The sequence below is a fragment of the Homo sapiens genome, chromosome 12 (genome assembly GCF_000001405.40).
Source record: "Homo sapiens chromosome 12, GRCh38.p14 Primary Assembly".
Lineage (NCBI taxonomy): Eukaryota > Metazoa > Chordata > Mammalia > Primates > Hominidae > Homo > Homo sapiens.
Genome location: NC_000012.12, coordinates 62,601,182 through 62,622,471, shown reverse-complemented (window position 1 = coordinate 62,622,471; position 21,290 = coordinate 62,601,182). Strand labels below are relative to the sequence as shown.

General features: G+C 40.7%; 2 long non-coding RNA genes and 1 other non-coding gene across 4 annotated transcripts, besides 9 other annotated features; 1 reads left to right on the top strand and 2 right to left on the bottom strand.

Moving 5' to 3' along the window:
• Nucleotides 1-257: 257 nt before the first annotated feature.
• Nucleotides 258-19,729, bottom strand: MIRLET7IHG (MIRLET7I host gene). 2 transcript variants are annotated; one of them, NR_186001.1, is made up of 2 exons: nt 19,637-19,729; nt 258-8,867 (listed from the first exon to the last, which is right to left on the bottom strand). It is a non-coding gene; the product is annotated as an MIRLET7I host gene (long non-coding RNA). The 2 variants fall into 2 exon arrangements; NR_186002.1 differs by lacking the exon at nt 19,637-19,729 and adding an exon at nt 9,918-10,476.
• Nucleotides 18,346-18,867: an enhancer, noted in NCBI's record as "H3K27ac hESC enhancer chr12:62997385-62997906 (GRCh37/hg19 assembly coordinates)". NCBI's record gives its function as "activates a minimal SCP1, AML or CMV promoter by ChIP-STARR-seq in primed H9 embryonic stem cells {active_cell/tissue: H9 hESC(primed)}" and the evidence as "EXISTENCE:reporter gene assay evidence [ECO:0000049][PMID:30033119]".
• Nucleotides 18,346-19,415: a biological region, named in NCBI's record as "H3K27ac hESC enhancers GRCh37_chr12:62996863-62997384 and GRCh37_chr12:62997385-62997906".
• Nucleotides 18,703-18,786, bottom strand: MIRLET7I (microRNA let-7i). The gene has a single exon (NR_029661.1). It is a non-coding gene; the product is annotated as a microRNA let-7i (primary transcript).
• Nucleotides 18,716-19,015: a silencer, noted in NCBI's record as "silent region_4609". NCBI's record gives its function as "represses an Ori minimal core promoter by ATAC-STARR-seq in GM12878 lymphoblastoid cells {active_cell/tissue: GM12878}" and the evidence as "EXISTENCE:reporter gene assay evidence [ECO:0000049][PMID:35858748]".
• Nucleotides 18,868-19,389: an enhancer, noted in NCBI's record as "H3K27ac hESC enhancer chr12:62996863-62997384 (GRCh37/hg19 assembly coordinates)". NCBI's record gives its function as "activates a minimal SCP1, AML or CMV promoter by ChIP-STARR-seq in primed H9 embryonic stem cells {active_cell/tissue: H9 hESC(primed)}" and the evidence as "EXISTENCE:reporter gene assay evidence [ECO:0000049][PMID:30033119]".
• On the top strand, nt 19,038-20,721 carry LINC01465 (long intergenic non-protein coding RNA 1465). The gene has a single exon (NR_121682.1). It is a non-coding gene; the product is annotated as a long intergenic non-protein coding RNA 1465 (long non-coding RNA).
• Nucleotides 19,106-19,415: a silencer, noted in NCBI's record as "silent region_4608". NCBI's record gives its function as "represses an Ori minimal core promoter by ATAC-STARR-seq in GM12878 lymphoblastoid cells {active_cell/tissue: GM12878}" and the evidence as "EXISTENCE:reporter gene assay evidence [ECO:0000049][PMID:35858748]".
• Nucleotides 19,390-19,911: an enhancer, noted in NCBI's record as "NANOG-H3K27ac-H3K4me1 hESC enhancer chr12:62996341-62996862 (GRCh37/hg19 assembly coordinates)". NCBI's record gives its function as "activates a minimal SCP1, AML or CMV promoter by ChIP-STARR-seq in primed H9 embryonic stem cells {active_cell/tissue: H9 hESC(primed)}" and the evidence as "EXISTENCE:reporter gene assay evidence [ECO:0000049][PMID:30033119]".
• Nucleotides 19,496-19,685: an enhancer, noted in NCBI's record as "active region_6583". NCBI's record gives its function as "activates an Ori minimal core promoter by ATAC-STARR-seq in GM12878 lymphoblastoid cells {active_cell/tissue: GM12878}" and the evidence as "EXISTENCE:reporter gene assay evidence [ECO:0000049][PMID:35858748]".
• Nucleotides 19,766-19,875: an enhancer, noted in NCBI's record as "active region_6582". NCBI's record gives its function as "activates an Ori minimal core promoter by ATAC-STARR-seq in GM12878 lymphoblastoid cells {active_cell/tissue: GM12878}" and the evidence as "EXISTENCE:reporter gene assay evidence [ECO:0000049][PMID:35858748]".
• Nucleotides 19,912-20,435: an enhancer, noted in NCBI's record as "NANOG-H3K27ac-H3K4me1 hESC enhancer chr12:62995817-62996340 (GRCh37/hg19 assembly coordinates)". NCBI's record gives its function as "activates a minimal SCP1, AML or CMV promoter by ChIP-STARR-seq in primed H9 embryonic stem cells {active_cell/tissue: H9 hESC(primed)}" and the evidence as "EXISTENCE:reporter gene assay evidence [ECO:0000049][PMID:30033119]".
• Nucleotides 20,722-21,290: the final 569 nt, after the last annotated feature.

Here is a 21,290-nt window from a genome sequence, read left to right as displayed (position 1 = left end):
GGGCTCCACCCCCAGGACTTCTCTTTCAGTAGATTTGGGGTAGGCCCAAGCATTTGCATTTCTAACAGGTTCCCAGGTGCTGGTGCTGCTGCTCCTGGTCCACGTTTTGAGAACCACTGCACTGTCACAGACTGTCTGCAGGGGGAAGGATCCTAAGGGCTGCCTGCTGCCACACATGCTTTTTATAATCATGATATGAAAGAATGCGCTCAAAGATACTGTGAAGAAAAGTCAAAATAATTGGCAGAGAGCTAAAATGGCCAAGAATATTTTTACTTTTAATCCAATTCAACAGCCATTACATTTTTATTCAGTACTAGGACTTGTTGAAGGGATTACAAAAGACCTATTTCCACTATTTGGTATCTTCAAAGACCATATAATTTGGTCATGGAGTTCATACTGGCATTCAGGAAAGGAAAAGTAATAATACATACAGTTGGATAACAAAATGTGTGGCATCAACAAAGTTCTATTCCCACAGAACTTCAGAGAAGGAGGAGATCAGTGTTAACTAGACTAGCAAGGTAAGGCTTCACAGAAAATGTAGGTTTGGGACTTTGAAGAATGGTATTGAGGATATCTATTGCCATATAACAAACCATCCCAAAACTTAGTAGCTGTAGTAGCTGACACAATTTTTTTTTTTTGGTAGTTTCAATAGAAATGCAAGATTCTATTATTGAAATTAGTCACAGGCCAGACCAGATTCCAGGGGGAAAGAAGACTCCATCTCTCAATGCGGGAGTGGCATGTGTATACAGAAGAGAAGAAATTGATGGCAGCCATCCTAGGAGACAAGCTACTACAGATAGGCAGGCAGAGGAATCAACCCACGGCATAAAGATGCAAGAGCTAGATGAGAACCAAGAGGAGATCTGAAAGCTTGTATAAAAGAAAAATCAGAGGAGTTGAAAACTGAAATGAAGAGTCTGGGCCTGATCTAATAAACACTGAGGAATCACTGTACATTCTTAGGTAGCAAATTAGCTTTCAATCACTCCACACACCTGCGTGTACTGTTTGCTTCCTGGCACTTGGGTTAAGTGGTTTACATGCAAATGTACACAAGACAGGCATGGGCCAGCCACCATGGATCAGAATTCAGTGGGAGATGCAGATGAGTAAATAGGCAATCACAATTCGTTGTGATGACTGCTGACAAAGGGGAAGACGCAGGTGTTACGAGAGCCTCTAACTCAAATAAGGAGTCAGGAGGGAGAGGGAGGAGTGGCTGTTAGTGTTGTGTTGTCCTCTAATCAAGGTTCACGGGCAAGACTGGAGGAAGGCAAGAGAAGCCACGGAGACCAGTTAGAGAGCTGTAGGAATAGGTGATTAGAATTACACATTTTAAGCCGCCTCCTCCTCCATCTCTAATGAATGAAAACATAGCCGTGATAGGGAGCATGCCTAGAGCATGATGGGCTGTTCAAGTTGTTATAACAACCCTTCTAAAGATTTGCTTCCATCCGATATGAAGTCTTCTGATAAAATATGTAAAATGACAACACAGGTCAAAATGATATTGAGGCATTATTTTGCATACCTGGAGGGATCACATGCAAAGCAGCAGAGAAAGTGGAAACACGGGTGTGTTCTTTCCTCATGCTTCAGAAGCATGATTCCCACAGAAGAAGTTATACACTTGAGAGGCACAGAGTTACAGGCTAACATCAGCAAGGGGAGGAATTCTGGCTTTGATGCTCTTGTGTAAATTAGGTGAGCTCACATCTTTAAGACAACACCTCAAGTTGCTTATATGCTGTACTTACAACAATACCAGAGAGATCACTCTCTATTAAAAAGCAGGCTCCACTGGTCCTATTGCTTGCTGTCACCACCACTACCTATATCTGGGGCACTGCCAAATATACAGCAGAGTCTCAATAAATATCTAACTACCTTAAAAGGGCTTATCAAATTTTGTACAGATTACAGACAGTGATGGGGCTAGGTACACTCAGAATAATTAACTCCGTGTTCTAAACGCTACCAAGAGCTCTAAGTATGCAGTTAACTATTTAGAGAAATGGAGGAGCTTCCACTATACTACCAAGTACATAGGAAAAATATTTAAACCCAGCCCTGGTGTATACTACAATGGAATAACTTCTCTATGGAAAATGGTGGCAGCTGTCAATGAGGTGGCATCTCCTGCCTGTCACCCGTCTGTGACTATTTCTGTTCTGTTTTCAAATGCCTCTTTTCCTATTTGTTCTTTTCTAGCTTTCATTCAAGGCTTCCCCAGCAGCCGTGTAGGTGTTGTGAGGGAGGGAGGGAGCTGGTAGGTGTGTCCTTTTTCTTCTAGCTTGGGCTACTGCTATAATATTTCCTATCAGAGTAGAGGGGGAAGAAGTGGAGAGAAAACAACTCAGGAAATGAAAGAAGAGAAGAATGAGAAAGAAGAGGATCATATCAAGGAAAAAGAAAATGGAAGAGAAGTAGAGGCAACCTGAAGACTGAGGGAATGGGAGAGTCCTCATTATCTCAGGCAGGGCATGTGATACATATTAAGATAGGAATTGAGTAGAGGACACTGTAATCTGCAGTCAGCGAGGCATGTCCTTTGCTGGTGCTTTCCTCTGCTTTGCTTTTGCATTGTCATTTCACTGTTAATAGCACCTACCTTGTAAAGGGAGAGAAGAAATGAAATTGGGTTCACCATTTTAGAACTTAATAGGTTAAAACAACACAAATGTATTATCTTCACGTACTGGAGGTCGGAAGTCTGAAATGGGTCTCACTAGGCTAAAATCAAGGCAACAGCAGAGCTTTCTGGAAGTCTAGGTGAGAATCTGTTTCCTTACCTTTTCCAGCTTCTAGAGGCATCCCCTTGGTTCATGGCCCCCTTCCTTCATCTTGAAAGCCAGCAATGGCAGGCAGAATCCTCACATCTCATCACTCTCTCCTCTGTAGCCACGTCTTCTCTGACTCTGATTCTTCTGTCTCTGTCTTCCATTGTGATTATATTGGGCTCACCTGGATAAATTATGCTACATTCCCTATCTTAAGGTCAGCTAATTAATCTTAATTCCACCTGCACTCTTAATTCCCCTTTGCCCTGTAACCTAACATATTCATAGATTCTAGGGGTTAGGACGTGAACATCATTAGGGGGCCCATTATTCTGTTGACTGCAAAAACTATATAACTTTGCTGAAACTATACTATTTTCATTTTCCCCCTAATATTCTTAAAAAACAAGAACTCTGAATGTCAGTAATTTATTTTTTCCCTTTCTGGGTTTGCTAGAAACAGAAGTAACAATCCTAGCCATCTGTCATTTAAACAAAGGAAGATTTATTGCCTTTGACTAAAATGGCATTTGCCACAATAGCAATACTAAACACTTCAGCAAAGACAGAGTCTGTCTGGCAGAGGCAACAGCATGCCATCAGCACCTCTTCTTACCAGCGCGGCACAGTTCTCAGTGGTCTTGCATCCTTACCCTGGAAAGCAGTCAAGGGGATCTGGTGCTCTAATGATGGGCCAACAAGAGAGTGAGAGATTAAGATTGGGATTATATGGGTGTATTAAACATTTGAAAGGGACCTTTTAGACTACTTCAAATAGCTACCGTTTATGGAACACCTTCCTTGTGTCAGGACTTTGTTGGGTACTTTAGGTATAGTATCTGTGATCCTCAGAACAACTTCTCATGATGGGTATTACAAACAAGGAAACGGAGATTAAGAAATTCACCTGAGGTCATACAGCTATTAAATAGCAGAGAGAGAAAATAACTCCCCAGCTACCTGACTCTAAAGCCTTTGCCCCCTCATGCACAGAATAACTCACTGCAGAATTATCTAATGCCCATAAGGTAAGTGGTAGCAATGGAAATAGGTAGGAGTTCTGTTGCTGAGGCCCTGAAGTCACCAGGTTTTGTCCTCACCTCCTCAATCAACTAACTAAACAGCATTAACACCCCCAGTTTCCTGATTAGTGGTTTATCTAAAGTCCCATGAGTCAGTGGGCTCTAATTGTGAGTCTACTCTTTGTTTCTGATGTTACATCACTTCTCCTCAAAGATAGCTATATATTTACTTAGGAAGAAATTAAGAAAGTAGGCAAATAAATGAAGAAACTGAGCAAAGAAGAAAAAAATGAAAATTAGAGCACTTTTTTGTGTAAGAGGGAGTAGCTCAATTCTGTAGAACACTGAAAAAGTCATGGAACTACTGAGCTTTGTTCTGCGAAACTTGGAAACTATGATTTTCTATTATTTACTTGGCCTCTTTAGACTGCATCCTCAGAGGAAATGTATCTTTGAACTCAAATTCAGTATTTGATCAAACCATACAACTAAAAATGTTAATTAAAAACAAAGCCAAAACCAACAACAGCCTAAATATTGGGGAAAATTCCTTTTGTGAATTAAATTCACTTAGTAATAAATTCATTTTTTTAATTAAGGCTTTGCAAGCTTTCAGTTTATGAAAAGATGTTATTATTGATGGAATTCAGTTTTCCTGACAGCTTGGTATTATTTTTAAATCTAAGAATGCTCATCATTGTAGTAAGAGACATGGCCTAGTATCATGCAAAGACCTTTCCTAAGGTATGGCAAATCAGAGGATTTTCCCAGGCCCCATACAGTGCACAATGCCAAATTGTTGTTGGAATCCTTCAGAATAAGGAGTTTCTGTAATTTATCTTACACCCGTGGTAGCCAGCACATTGAGGGATCACATAGTGATAATAATAATGGTTAAATAAAGAAATGTGTATTTATATACATGTGTAAATTGACTCACAGAATCACATGAACAAATTTATTTTCTAAAGTAAAACAATTCAGGTAAAATTGTCCTCTTCTTTTCTGGTCCCCCACTCTTCAAAAACCCTCTTTCTTTTAGGCTTTCCCTTTCCACACTGTTATTGCCATTAATTTTATTTAGATTAGAAATCTGTACAAAAATGGTAGCAAAGAGGAGACAACGCATACATCTGACCTAGACTCCAAAGCTTTACAGATGGCCCATAGCATGGAGAGAAGCCAGGACAAATTTTAGCATAGTCTTCTACATTGCATCAATGTCATTACTTGAGTATCAACTTAAGGATCCTTACTCAAAATAGACTCAGGTGGCCTAGAAAAGTGCTTGAAATTTTCTGCCTATTCCATGGGGTAAACATTGAAGTTTGCTATTGTAATCATTCAAGTCAAATTTTTGTGTTAACACTGGCATTATTTATATTAGCTATGTAGTCACTCTGTGTTTTTTTATAAAAACTAAGTAGATAAGTTCAGAGTTTGGATAATGGTAAAAAGCCAGAAAATGTCTGGAACATAGAGAGAGGCCTGGGGTGGGGGTTGGAGAGGACTGTAGAGGTTAGGGACTTTGGGGAACTATAAGTCAGCATGAGGGTGCTGGATTCCATGGGTAAAGATAATACCACTGACAGGGAAAAAGAATGATAAAAGAGACTAACATTTAAAAAAAAAAATTATGTGCCAGGCAGGCCTTGTGTTAGATACTTGGCATATACAGACAAGAGAGTCACAGGAAGGAGAAGTTTTGTGCTTATTTACGGTCACTCAACCTACATTCAAATACATTTTTGTGTTGTTTTATTATATGATTTTTTAAGTTACAAAAAAAAAAAAGAGGGAAGAAGGAAAAGCAATAAGGCAAACTTGCCAATAGGTTCATGAACAAAAGTCAATTATGGAATGTGGCAGAAGGCAAATATAAATGTATTCAAAGTTTTACCTTTAACAATTACACTTGTGGTTCCAGTTATCTGTTGATAATATAAATTACTCCGTATTTAGTGACTCAAACAACAATTTTATTTCTCTCTCATGGGTCTGGAGTTTGGCTGGATTCAGCTAGGTAGTTCTTGCTGAGGGTCATTCATGGGGTTGTCATCGGATGGTGGCTGGTGATGGAAGCATCTGAAGACTTACTAATTGCAGCCGGGCATGGTGGCTCATGCCTACAATTCCAGCACTTTGGGAGACTGAGGTAGGAGGATTACTTGAGCTTAGGAGTTCAAGACCAGCCTGGGCAACATAGTGAGAACCCATTTCGATTTATTTAAAAAAAAAAATTAAAACCAAAAAGAAATGAAGGCTTACTACTTGCATATTTGGAGCCTGGGCTGGGAAGGCTCACACATTTGGTCCTCTTCTCTCTCTCTGTGGTTCTTCCACATGGTCTTTCCAGTGTTGTGGCTTCAGGGTAGGTGGTTTTCTTCCATGGCAGCTCAGGGCTCCAAAGGCACATGTTCTGAGAAAGAACTAGGTGGCAGCTGTATCACCCCTTATTACCCTGTCTCAGAGTTCACACAGCATCCTTCTGCTGCATTTAATCACAAAGGTCCACTCATGTTCCAAAGGAAGAGACACAGATTCCACCTCTTGTTGAGAGTAGTATTAAAGAATTGGTGGACACATTTTCAAACCACCATAATCTGCTCTCAGGCCACATATTATTTACATCCTTCCCACATGCAAAATATACTCACCCCCTCCCAAGACCTTCTGAAATTCTCATTTATTAAGACATTGGGCTCAGGCTCAAGGTCCAGGACTTTATCAGTGAAATCAGGTCACGTGTGGATAAAGATACTTGTGTGTGGTCCTGTGAGTACAGCTCACGTGGCATTCCTTGAGGTCTGAAAAATCTGTCAGCTAGTGAGACAAATTATCTCTCCCTCATACCCAATATACATAGTGGAGTAGGTATGGGGTAACCATTATAAATAATCCCATTCACAAAGGGAGAAAAAAGAGGCATGTGGCGACCTCCATAGCAAGTCTATTGTCTTTCACGGTTCTGGGGCTTGACTAAGCTAATCTAGATGGTTTTCGTTGAAGGGGTCTCATGAGCTTACAGCTAGATGGTGGCTGGTGCTGGAACCATCTGAAGGCTTGCTCACTCATATATATGGCACCTGGTCTGGGAGGACTTAAATAGCTGGGATTGGGAGCAGCTGGGCTTCTTCAGACACCTCTTTCTAACTCTATGTGATTTCCCTGTGGTCTCTTCAGCATGGTAGCTTCAGGGTAGCTATTCTTACATGGCAACCCAGAGCTCTAAAATGCAGGGGCATGGGGAAGCTGTATCACCTCTTATGACCCTGTCTCAAAAGTCACATAGTGTCTTTTCTGTCATATTCTATTTGTTGAGGCAGCACAAAGGCCACTTAGGTTCAAGAAAAGGGAACACAAGACTATATTTTTTACTGAGAAGTGTCAAAGATTTTGCAGACATGTTTTTAAACCACCACAACTGGAAGAAGGAAAAAGAACAAAAAGAAAAGCTTATGAACTGTTGCTGAAAAATTATGCTATATCCTATGGCACCAAATTGGTTGGTGGTTGCAGCCACAAATCTGAGTGATGATGGACAAAAACAGGTCAAGGGTCATATTCAAATGCATGAAATTATTTCAGCTTTTTGTTCCTCAAGAAAGACCTATTTCTTACTTCACTTACTGAAAGAGAGAGAGAGAGAGACAGAGAGAGAGAAAGGGAAAGAGAGAGAGAGACCCAAATGCTCTTTCAGGAAAGCTAAGTTCTAAAATGGAGGGTCGGCAAACTATGGCCTAGAAGTCAAATCTGGCCTATGGCCTGTTTCTGTATGGCCCAAGAGCTGAGAATGATTTTATGCTTTTAAAGAGAAAGAAGAAAGAGAAGAAGAAAAAGAAGGAAGAGGAAGGGAAGAAAAGGAGGAGGAAGGTGGAGACCCAGCAGCATATGCAACAGAGGCCATCTGTGGCCCGCAAAGCTAAACATACTCTGGCCCTTTGCAGAGAAGTTGACCCCTGTTTCAAAGCACTTTCAAATGTGTTTTCAGATGGTTTCCACAGCTAGAATAGCAAATATACCTTTAAAGTGCTTCTAATATATAGATTTTCCTCATAAAATGTAGTAATAACGCAGGACTTGTCCTATCAATTTTTTCTATTATATATTCAATCTCACATATACATATTCTCTCTCATTTATCCTCTACCCACCTACCAATATTCTCATCCCTCCCATAAAAAAACATAATCCTGGCTGGGCGTAGTGGCTCACGCCTATAATCCTAGAAGTTTCAGAGGCCGAGCCGGGAGGATTGCTTGAGTTCAGGAGTTCAAGACCAGCCTGGGCAACATAGTGAGATCTCATCTCTCCAAAAATAAAAATAAAAAATAAAAATCCTTTCTTTTCCCTTGTGTAATTTTCCTTCTCAAAAGCCATAAATGTTTCTTATTCCAAAATAAATCAAAACTCCTAATGCTTACAGGTCACTCATGATCTAGCCCATAACCCTATTTCCAGCCTCTTTGTCTACACCACTTATCTGTCCCTTTGTCCCCAGATTCCTATACAGCATCTACATTAGACTACTTGCTCTTCCTTGAAGAGTCCATGCCTTTCCATATACCCATGACTTTTCTCTTGTTCTTATATCCAGAAATGACCATTCTTGTCATATTGAAAATACGCTTATTTTTCATGTTTCCTGTGCCAATTCGCTAGTTGAAACTGTTGCTCAGTGTTCAGCATTCCCATGGCATGTCACTGTATGTAGATCTACATAACACTTGTTTCATTCTGTTTGCAGTTATTTATATACATGTCTTTTTCCTCAAATAGAAAAGCTCCTTCAAGGCAAGTGCTATTTCTTAGTCATCTTGATATCCAGTAAATACACTAATAGGTCCGGCATGGTGGCTCGTGCCTGTAATCCCAGCACTTTGGGAGGCCGAGGCTGGCGGATCACTTGAGGTCAGGAGTTTGAGACCAGCCTGGCCAACATGGCAAAACCCCATCTCTACTAAAAATACAAAAAAAATTGGCCGGGTGGGGTGGCATGGGCCTGTAATTCCAATTACTTGGGAGGCTGAGGCAGGAGAATCTCTTGAACCTAGGAGGGAGAGAGAGGTTGCAGTGAGCCGAGTTCGCACCATTGCACTCTAGCCTGGGCAATAGAGCTAGACTCCATCTCAAAAAATATATATATATACACACACATACACACACACACACACTAATAATTGTTAAACAAATGATAGAGTAAATGATCCCAGATCCTTTTTTATTTTTCTCTGAAAACATACCCTTTCCCCAGAGTTCATCCAAAGGCGCAACTCTGGTGTTCAAGCTGATCTGTTTCTGTTCTTACTCTTCTGGCTTCCTATTCCCAGAGCCTTTAAATTCTGGAAGAAATCAGCCTACATTCTTTCTAGCAATTTTATGACCCCAGTTTCATTAAATCATTCTCTTAGCACTTCAAAACTCCATCTGTTCCCCAACATGACTTTCCACTGAGCCTAGCTCAACTGCATGCATTTCATCATCATCCACTCCTTTCAACAGCTTCACAGTGCATAAACCACATATGTACCTGTAAGACCACCACCATATTTTTCTTACCTTTTCTTACATTAAAAACAAAAAACAAAAAACAAAAAAAACAAGGCTGGGCATGGTGGCTCACATCTGTAATCCCAGCACTTTGGGAGGCTGAGATGGGAGAATCACTTGAGCTCAGGAGTTCAAGACCAGCCCGGGCAACAGAGTGAGACTCTGTCTCCACAAAAAATTTTAAAAATTAGTTGGATGTGGTGATGTGCACCTGTAGTCCCAGTTATTCAAGGCTCTGAGGCAGGAGGATCACTTGAGCCCAGGAAGTCGAGGCTGCAGTGAGCCATGATCATGCTACTGCACTCCAGCCTTGGCAACAGAGTGAGACTCTGTATTTTAAAAACCACAAGAACATGAAGTTTCATTACCAACTACCTTTATATAGCTAACTGACCATGACTTTTGGAGAAGGGGAATATTATTTTTACCAGTCACATAAAAAGATATAAAAATTATTCTTTAATAGGAAAAAAGAAGAGTGACATGATAAAGGAAAAAGATGGACCTTGAACCAAAATGCCTAGAGGTCATTTGAGAACTTGCATACTACCTTCTGGAACAACACGTTGTTTTTCTCTCTTTTTTTTTCTTCCTAATTTCCTTGAAGTGGTAGAGGACCTTTCCGCTTCTTGGAACCGTGTTCATGGTGTGACTTGACTATTGGAGAATGTGGGAAGAGTGGTTTCTGATTCCTTTTAAGAAGATACTCAACAAGGGAGGAGGCCATAAGGCAGAATCAGAAGGGTTTAAGGAATACACTGTGACTTCCAGCATAATAAACTCCACAGGGTTCATGGATAGTCAGCAGAGAATACTAAAGATATTAGTGGTAACATCTATACATATAGCAATTATCATTAATATTTCTAAGGCAACTTAAGTCCCAGGGTTAATAACAACAGAAAATGCCCATGTATGTAGTAGATAAGGTCACGGCTAAGTTCAACGTCTAACTAATGAGTCCAGATAGTGATTCACTACGTATATACAGGATAAGATATATGAAGTTAAAAAGTCACTAGGATATATACTTCAAAATAAAAGCTATTTAATAGTGATAATATTGGTAAATTTGAAAGAACTCTCTTGGCCAAGTGTGGTGGCTAACGCCTGTAATCCTAGCACTTTAGGAGGCTGAGGCAGGAGGATCACTTGAGCCCAGGAGCTCAAGACCAGCGTGGGCAACAAAGTGAGACCCTGCCTCTATTTATTTTTAAACAAGAAAAGAAAAAAAAGTATCTTATATTTGTAATAATGCTTCAATGTGTTTATTCCTTCAACCTTATATATATATATATTTTAGATAGAGTCTCACTCTGTCACCCAGGCTGAAGTGCAGTGGCACGATCTCAGCTCACTGCAACCTCCACCTCTGGGGTTTAAGCGATTCTCCTGCCTCAGCCTCCCCAGTAGCTGGGACTACAGGCATGCACCATCATGCCCGGCTAATTTTTTGTATTTTTAGTAGAGACCAGGTTTCACCATGTTGGCCAGGCTGCTCTCGAATTCCTGACCTCAAGTAATCCACCTGCCTCGGCCTCTCAAAGTGCTGGGATTACAGGCGTGAGCCACCGCGCCCGGCCTCCTTCAACCTTATTTATATATGTGTGTGTATGCCTGGCATTTGTGGTACACATTCAAAAACATGATAATTTCTGTGCTTAGTAAAATGCAAAATCATTGTTTCTTTTGATCCACAGGTTGGTTATATTTTTTTACCTTTGTAGTGTGCTAATATATTCAAAGCAGTAACAGCACTCAGTTAAATATTTAAATTAGATTAATAACACTGGTAATATGTAGATGCACAATGAACTAACTGCTAAGTGTTAACATATATTGATGGGGGCTGGGCGCGGTGGCTCACACCTATAATCCCAGCACTTTGGGAGACGGAGGTGGGCGATCAATTGAGCCCTGTAGTTTTGAGACCAGCCTGGGCAACATGGCAAAACCCTGTCTCTACAAAAAATACAAAAATTAGCCAGGGGTGGTGGCGTGTGCCTGTAGTCTTAGCTACTCAGGAGGCTGAGGTGGAAAGATCGCTTGAGCCTGGGAGTTGAAGGTTGCAGTGAGCTGTGACCACGCCACTGCACTCCAGCCTGGATGACAGTGAGACCCTGTCTAAACACACACACACACACACACACACACACACACACACACAAAGAAGGTTAAGAAAAAAGGAATCTAACTGGAAACAAAAAATCGAATAAATTGCTAGAACAATTATTAGAGTTCCATTTAAAAGGACAAACATTCTATCATTTGCAACGACATGTTTAAACTTGGAGGACATTACACTAAATAAGCCAGGCATAGAAAGACAAATACTACATGATCTCATTTATATGTGGAATATAAAAAAGTCAAACTCAGAGAAGCAGAAAGGAGAGAATAGTGTTACCAGGGGCTTATAGACAGAGGGGGTAAGGTACTGGGGAGATGTTGGCTAAAGGGTACAAAGTTTCAGTTAGACAGGAGGAATAACAAAATAAAAGAGGAAAAACAGAACTAAGCTTATTGAAAGCAGTTAAAGCCAAACAAATTTTTTTAGTGAGCTGATTTTGCTTAGAGTACTTGTTTAAGAATGTGAAATAAGGCATACTTCTAGAAAAAGACTATGGAACTAGAAAAATAATATTTAAAATGGAAAGTTATTAAGTTTAATAGGCTAACATTAAAGCAAGTACTTTATACATACAAAGTACTTAGTAAAAGTTCTCAACACATCTCTTATTAATTCTAATTACTAGTTTTAATTATAATAGATATATTTAAACAATGGTATCCTTGTTGTGGGTATGTGTGAACTTGCACTATATTAGTCAATATATTTGATCTGGAGTATAAGGAAAATGGACTGATCCTCTGATAGACTTCAAGGTAGTATTTCAAAGTGGCCTGGGAGGATACCCTAAGAACACTTAGCTGCACCTTACTGACCTTCACATGGTTTTGTATGTGTTCTCACTTTGCTTTGGTTGTCTCCAAACCACAGGAATCTTTCTTTGTCTTGTTTTACGTGTTTTTGAGTTTTTATTATGGAACATTCTAAATATACACAAAAGTAGAACAGAATAAAAAAACCCATCTACCCATCACCCATCATCAATACCAACACTAAGACAAGCTTCTTTCCTGTGTACTCCCATATATGCTTCCCATCCCCCATGGATTAAAGTATGAAGCAAAGTCCGATCATATCATTCATTAGTAAATTATTTAGTATGCATATACCAAAAGATTTTTAAAAACTATAACCACAATACCATTTTCAAAAACAATTCTTTAACTTCTAATATTCAGTCAGTTTTAAAATTTCTCCAATTGTCTCATAAATGTGTTTGTGGTTAGCTTTGATCAAATTAGGATCCAAACAAGGTCTATACATTGCAATTAAACCGATAAATATCTTTAAATTCATTTTACTCTACAGGTTTTCCTGCCCTTCTTTCCTTAAAAATTTTTTTTCCTTAGATCATTTGTCTTATAGAATTTCAGTGTGGATTTTTGCTACTTGTGCTCCTGTGGTGATTTAACAATGTTCCCCTATATCTTAAATTTCTAATAAACTACTCATCAGATCTAGAAACTTGATGAGAGTCTAGAGTCTTAGTAAACCACTATCTAGTTCAATTATTTGAACTAGAATATCTAGTTATCTGTTTTTGTAATATTAAAATTGATCAGTGAGTTGAAGTGCGGTTGCCCTGATCCATGAATTAAATACTTCTCTACTACTGATTCATTAATCACATACTTCTCCATCAGCATTTTACTTAATGGTTTCAACCATTAAGTTAGCCATTGAAGAGGTCTAGCTTTATTTCATGAGCTGTTGTAAATGTTAACATTCTATCAGACGTTCTGCACTGTGAAACTGGAATTATTCTGTAATGAGGAAATCTCCCTCACAACCATTTAGTTACCCCGAGGTATAAATTATATAAGGAAGGTAGGATACTTCTTTCTTTCCTGTTCTCAGGCACCACAAGGCTCATAATCGCTCTCCATAGCTTATACTGTTAAAATAATCTGACGTTTCTGCTCCAGAGAGATGCATTCTCTACCTACTCACAGTGCACTCCTGCTTCTTTGAACTTTTACCATGTTTAGAGTGTACATCATAAAATGTGATGTCTGGCTATGGGGTCTAGATTCCTCCACAAGGTAGTTGGGCACTTGCTACAACATTGTAAGCTCTTAAAGGTGAAGTACCTCCTGCAGTGTTATCCTGTTTAGGAGATAGAAAACAGCCCTGGCTGACCAGGCGCGGTGGCTCTTGCCTGTAATACCAGCACTTTGGGAGGCCAAGGTGGGCGGATCATGAGGTCAGCAGTTCGAGACCAGCCTGGCCAACACGGTGAAACCTCATCTCTACTAAAAATACAAACATTAGCTGGGCGTGGTGGCGGGCGCCTGTAATCCCAGCTACTTAGGAGGCTGAGGCAGGAGAATTGCTTGAACCTGGGAGGTGGAGGTTGCAGTGAGCCGAGATCGTGCCATTGTACTCCAGCCTGGGCAACAAGAGCAAGATTCCGTCTCAAAAAAAAAAAAAGAAAGAAAGAAAACAGCCCTGGTGAAACTAAATTATCATCTTTTTTTAAAAAAAATAGGTACAATTATAACAAAAATCAATGGGAAATGGCTTTTTTAAAACATACAACTGGAATATCAATAGTGGTTTTGGAGCAAGGGCTCTAGAACAGGTGTATGAGTGGAACTCAGGTTTGAAAACAACTCAGGTGGCCCATGGATTGTCCTCACTACATGTCTGTAATTATTATTATAGGGAAATGTATTCCTTTTACAATGTGAATTCCATAATGTGGAGTTGGTTTTTTTGTGTTTGTTTTTGTTTTATCTTCTGTATATTCCCAGCACCTGACATAGAGCAGGTATCCGATTCACCTGTTGAATTTATCTGGAACTTATTTATTCTGTATAAGCTTCATTCACTACAAAAAGAAATGAATGGCAGATAGGATTCTTATTCTTAGGTTTTTCGTCCGAACTCTTAAAAAGTATGTAAATTTGTTTTTAAAACAGAAAAATATACTTTAATTTGCTTATGTATCTGTTTTTAGAGTTTAGTCAACTCTTTCGGCCATCTATTACGGTAACATTAAGTCAGTGTTACTATTATGACTAAAACTAGCCCATGCCTGTATCTACATAATACTTCTGTTTAACAAGGGCTTTAAAATACACTATGTGCAGAATATTAAAACAGCAATCTCTGAATCTTAATACCTTTTTGGTAGTTATGTTCAAAGTGAGATAAAACACCCGTTAATTGTTTATTACTCAACCTAAGAGCAGTTAAGGGATTTTTCAGGTATAACAGAAAACACATTACAACTACATATATGATCTAAACTGTCAATGTCTGTGGACAGTTTTTAGTCCTTAATTTACTTGAATTTTCTGTGACATATCACACAGCTTGGCTTTCTGCGAACTCCTGACTTCCATGATAAAATACTCTCAATTATATTATAATGGAACTAACGGAATTTGTAAACCTGATTCGAAGAAAATAATATTTTCTGTAAGTGTTGTTTGATGTTGAATAAGAGGAAAGAACTAGGAACTTATCCTTAAAAACACAAGATTGTGTCTTAGGTTTGTTCATATTTGATATAACTAAAAGACTAAAGTTACACTATCGGGTGTCAATAGTATGCCTTTAAAGGACCCTATTCACAAATTTAGTGGCCAAAAATCCTGTGTAGGCACAATTCCATTACATCTGAACAAAACAGCACTTTTAAAGAAAGGTAAATGTAAAACAAATTTAACCAAAAAAAAAATTTTCAACTTGAGATAAGAAAACACATAAATTCCATGTAGAACTGCTAATATTTCTTTTAATTCTGATGACACTCCCAGCGTATTTGTAGCAGATAATATGAAACTAAACTGTAAATCACCTAGAGTATCATTATCACTGCGATTGTCATCTCCAAGATCTCAGGCAACAAACCTAACCAAAAGAACTCCCTAAATTACTATACTATTTGAAGTGTTCCATACTTCCCTTCCCCCTTAGCTCATTCAATCACTTTTCTGCCAGGTCTCAAAAGTGAAGTAGGTCACTAATGTTTTTCTCACCTGCCCACATTTTGATTATTTATTTAATTTCTTGAGACAGAATCTCAACTATTTTGTCCAGGCAGGTCTCAAACTACTGGGCTCCAGTGACTCTCCTGCCTCAGCCTCCAGAGTACCTGGGATTATAGGTGCACATCACTGCACTGAGCTCACATTGATTTTTTTTTTTTTTTGACAGTCTCACTCTGTTGCCCAGGCTGCAGTGGTGCAATCATGGCTCACTGCAGCCTCAAAGTCCTGGGCTCATGAGATCCTCCCACCTCAGCGGGGACTACAGGCAGGCACCACCACACTCAGCTAATTACATTTTGATTCTTAAACACTTCATGTGACATCTTTCCTGTTTTCCTTTGGGGCAATGACCTAGCTATACAATTATTTTGCTTTCCCCATGGTGCCCAATAGTGATAACCTAACAAAAACACTTAGTGAACTTCATTAGACAATCTTAGAAATAATTTTCAAATTTTTGCTTAATTATCTAGATTATCAGTAGCGCCAACAGCTTTTCAGAGTTTATGACAATGGTCATTAATTCTCCTTTTGGGTACTACCAATCTGGCCTAATTCATTTTCGAAGATGATTGTCCTATTTACCTTTTGTTGTAGAAATTACAGAGGGGATTATTCAGTGGGAAAGGAAATTAATAGTATCTCCTTTGTCAGCTTCACCATGGAGCGGGTGGAGTGTAATAAACAATAGCGGGAGAGAGCATGTAGCTAGGAAGAAATCTCAGCCTTTTTGGTGCTTTGTGCTTATACACTGAAGAGCTAATTTGTGCTGTCAGGTGCCTCTGTCAGGAATTCTTTGGGGACCACTCCACAAGACACAATGTCTTGAGTGCACCCTTGCCAGTCAGTCTTGCCTACCTGCCAAAAGGTTATTTTAAAATAGCTTGTAAACAAAGCTTTTCTATGTAAGATTAGCAATCAGGAATTTTAAAGTATGAAGCAAAACTGTGTTCTCCAAGAATCTTCTCCATATGGTGTGTCCTATATACCATAACACAGTCTCCATTTCCAATTGAGGATGACATTTATTAAAATGTTATTACCATAACCCAGCTTTCCTTTGGTTTAGTATGTACTTATTGAGAAGGGCACTCAAAATACTGCCTTATTACTTTCCACCAGTGGCTTTTTACAACTACAAATTACTTAAATGCTTGACAACAGACCTTTAACAAAAAAGTTAACTGCACCAAGTAAATGTCAATAATACTAAGTTCAGAAAGCTGTATTTTTGATAAATCAAATTCATCTTGTGGGAAACTGTCAACAAGGAAAATGTTCAGTTGGTAATTTTCAGTTGGTGTGTAGAGAAATGTAATTAGCAGATCATTTTTAAAACTGGAGATTAGAGCAGAAATATAGCTATGGGATTAAAACAAGTCAGCTGGTGGCAGTATTTTCTCTTGTAACTTAGGAAACAGTTAACCTCTCAAAGTACCTTTACATCCAATAACTCAAAAATGTTACTACTATTTGGGCAATATGTAGTTGTGGATAAAATTTACTTTAAAAACACAAGATATAAAGTATGAATAGTTTATCTGTATAGGACATTGAGCATTTCTGGTGTGCTTATCCGCTTAAAGTTTAAATTACCAGCAGAATTTGTTATACTTTGGGGTGCAGATTAACAACCGTTGATTCTCCATAAAAATGTTAGAGTGTAGTGGGTTGGAAGATTACCTCGGTTGGTTGAATGAAGTGTTTTGGAAAATAAAATCATAATGAAATTAGCATGTTATGATTAGTTTCTCCATAAACCAAGATTTGACACAGCACCGCAGAGGTTTTCATTATTTAAGAAAACAAGCACTTAACAAAGCCCTGAATTTACTCTGCGTTGCTATCAAGAAAAGCAAACTTCAAGAGCCAACATTCAAGCATTTTCTGCATCTTAAGATTCAAGATAAGGTTCTTCACCGCCCTTCCCACAATGAGGCGGCTCCATCCTGATGAGATCAGATTAAGTAAGGTTATTCTCAAGGCTAAACCAAACCCAATCAAGGCACATATATTAGATCACTTTTGAATGATAAAAGCATCAAACTCCTGCTGAAGGGTTTGGTTGGTTTAAAGAACTGCCTTATTTGTTTTTCAACTGAGCATCAGAAAACCATAGAAAACTGCGATTACATTATATTCAAAACTACTTATTCTGTACAAATACAGATCAGTTTTCAACGAAAAGTACTAAAACTGACCACTTACTTCCCTCAGTGAAAATAAAATAAAAATACAAGTATCTTGTTTTCCACGCAGACTTCAGGGTATTAGAGCACTGAGTATTTTCATTAGTTATCCAAACTACCTTTTTTCTCTATGCAAAGGTATTTTCCTATTAGGAGTAGTGGCCACTCAGGAATCAAAATGAGTGTTAGTAGATTTTAAACTCAAATCTAGAAACCACTTTCAATTCCTAGTCCTCTTCTCCCATACAAAACCTCAAAGATGTAAGTACCACATAACATTAGAATCAAAGGCCATAAAAACCAAAAAACCAACCCACCACACCAGCAGAATCTGAGCCCCAAGGTTAAACTAAAAAGAAAAAACAAAAAACAAAACCATTCACAGCACACTGTACATAGAATTTATTTGTTTGCCTCATACATTAAAAAATCGGAATAGTGCAATTACCTACAAATAATTTCAATCTTCTCATTCGCGAGTTGCAAAGTTTAAAGAGAAACTTTAAATTGCTTTGGGTTTACGTTTTTAAAGACACACTCAGATTTACTAAGAGAGCATATCAGAAACCAGATCTAAAATGTTAAGGCATAAACTTTAATTATCAGGTCTACTTCTTCTGCCCCTCTAATGCCAGTTCTGCAGATCGCTCACACCACTCCAACCTACAGCTAAAGAATGAAGTAAAACAGGTACACACTAAATTTGGCATTTAACTGCTGAAAGAAGTGTTAGAATTTTTTAGGGTGAAAAAGTTATCTGTATCAATTATCTTACACAATTCCACTCCTTCCTTCAAGAAAAGGAATCCAATGGCTTAGCTCTTTCCCAACCTTTAAAATGCATCGCGGTCCACCCCACTCCCCTCAATTCCTTCTAGGAAAATGTGAAACTAACGGTTTCCGTGGTGGCCGCGCCGGCCGGGCGCCGAGGCTTCGCGGGCTGTCCCCAGGCAGCGCCCCGGAAAACAAAGGGGATTCCCAGCCATTGTCCTCCGCGGCGCTGAGCATCACCAGCACTAGCAAGGCAGTAGCTTGCGCAGTTATCTCCACAGCGGGCAATGTCACAACCCGACCAACAGCACAAACTACTACCTCAGCCAGGGCCATGGTGTCGGGGAGGCACGGGACCACGCGGAGGGCAGCAAAGCGGCTCCGGCGCTCCTCCGTCCTTCCTCGCCGCCGACGTCGGCCCGCCGCCCCTTCTTTTCCTTTGCCTTCCCCCCGCGCCGCGCCCGGAGACCCCGCCCAGCACCCAGCGGCTCGGCTACTCCCGGCGCGCCCCGAGAGCTACGGGGATGAGAGGCGGCGCCGGCGCCCGGGTGATACAGCCGGCGTTCTGTACGTCAGCCACCGCTCTGAAGAGAGAAAAGCGGCGGTGTCCTGCGGAGAGAGCCGCTCCCTCCACTGCCCGAGGGGAGCGCGTCGCCTCAGCCGCTCGAAAGCAGGAAATGGGCGGCAAAAGCGCAGTCAGACACCAACTGGTTCTGGACTGCCCCCGAGAGGCAGCGAGCAGCGCTCCCGCGCTTCGCCCGCTAGGAGCTGCCGCCACGTCCCGAGCTGCGCCGCTCGCGCCCCTCCCTGCTCCGAGTCCCCGGTGGGGGCTGGGCTGCGGCCGAGTCCGGTACCCGGGCCCCCACCCGCGCCGCGCTGTCGAACCCGCCGCCGGCCCGCTCTCGGCGCCGATAATCGCCGGCGGGCATCCCGCAGAGGCTGCCGCCGGCTCCGCCAAACAGCAGCCAAGGCATAGCCGGGAAGTCCCCAGGCCACCCGTTCCCCAGCACCCTTCGGGGAATTCCCGTTCAGCTCTACAGGAGGCGAAAACGGAACAAACGAAAACCCCTTAACAGTGAAACCGGGCCCGGCGATGGCCCGGGTGGCGACTGCGACGACTCGACGCGTGCGGACACAAGACCCGTCTCGCGCTCCGCTGCTCCTGTGCGTCCGGACGAACCTTAGAGATCACTTAAGGAGGCTCGCGCGCTACTCCTCACCACGTGACCGCCCCGCCAGGCCGCCCCCCGCGCCGCCATCTTACATCCGGGACAGAGGCGGCGTCCCCTTTCCCTGCCTTGGCAGGCGTCAGCGTGCTACCAGAAATCAGCCCTGAAAGAGGGGACCCCGATTCCACGTCACCAGAGTGCTGAGGCAGCGGGCGATGCCCTCCATCGGCTCAGCGGGGGGGAGTGGAGTCCCAAACTTTTTTCGGCCTTTGCCCGCAAAGAAGATGGCGGCGCATATCGCCGCCTAAGCGGACACGTTGTACCCTGGCCGTGGTTTGAAGTTTCCGGCACCTCCTTTCCCAACCAGCAAGGACACAACCATACGAGCCCCACCCACGCGGGGTGGCTGCCGTGCTACATTCCGCAGAAAACAGGCGGGAAAGCTGCGGCACAGCCCGCTTTAAACGCAAGCTTTTGGGACTTCTGGTTTTGGCTTTTTCTTTTTAAGCCAAGTTAGGGAGAAGGCTGACTGCCATGGAGCCACTTCTGCTTTTGGCCCAGACAACTTACGGGATTTTTTTTTTCCTCCCATTTAGAGATTTTTTGTAGGAAGTTAACAAATTATTTTAAAGAAGTAGTTAGGGCTTGTCAGATAAAATACAGGACGCCCAGTTAAATTGGAATTTCAGATAACCAGTGTTTTGGCATATGTGTGTTACATATATTTTTAAAATTGTTTATCTGATATTCCAATTTAACTGCACATTCTCAATTTTTAATGACTGTATCTGGCAACCCTATCAGCCTTTACCCCTGAAAATCCAGACTGCTTATGACAAAAGTAAGGAATGGAGGGAAATGAAAAGCATGTTTACCTACAACTTAGAATTGTCTTTGCCCAGACTTTGATCCTTCATGGAGGCCAGAGGGCCGTGGTCTAGAACAAAATTTGGCAGCAACTCATAAAGATATCCTTGTATAATTCCCTTTCTGGCAAAGTAAGATTTTTTTTTTCTTAAGCTATCACGATGTAATTTTGGACAACAGATCCTCTTGGCCAAGAGTTTAATTGCAAATTAAAAATTAAATAACTGGCTTTTTGTTTCTATTCTACATGGTATAGGCGATGGGACCCAAACAATTTCTTAAAGTAGAAGTTTTCAAGTTAAAAATCAGCCTGCCTGACATATTTCATAAGAACATTTTTAGGTGCATATTCAGAAACTATTTCCAATTAAGAATATTTGTGTAAACATAATACATTTGCAGTTAAATGCTTTACCTGACAAAGCATAAACTCACCTATCAATCACTAAGCATAAACTCAAAGCAAAAACTCAATCACACCATAAACTCATCTATCAATCACTTACCAGAAAGTCTGTAGAAACTTCACACCATCCTTCCTTGATAAGCAAAGATTGGACTGCCATGGGAATCAACCCTCACTGCTCATTGACTGCGCAGTGGATCAGATTATTCTGTACCAAAGCAAATGTCCTTTGCCATAATGGCACAGATTTTTAAATGGCCACTAAACACCTGTTTGGTCTATGGTATACAGATTTGTTACAGCAGTAGTTTCCAACTAAATTTAGTCATTATACTACTTTATCACTTACATTCCTTTCCATAATGTTTTTAACAGTGCTAACACCAATATAC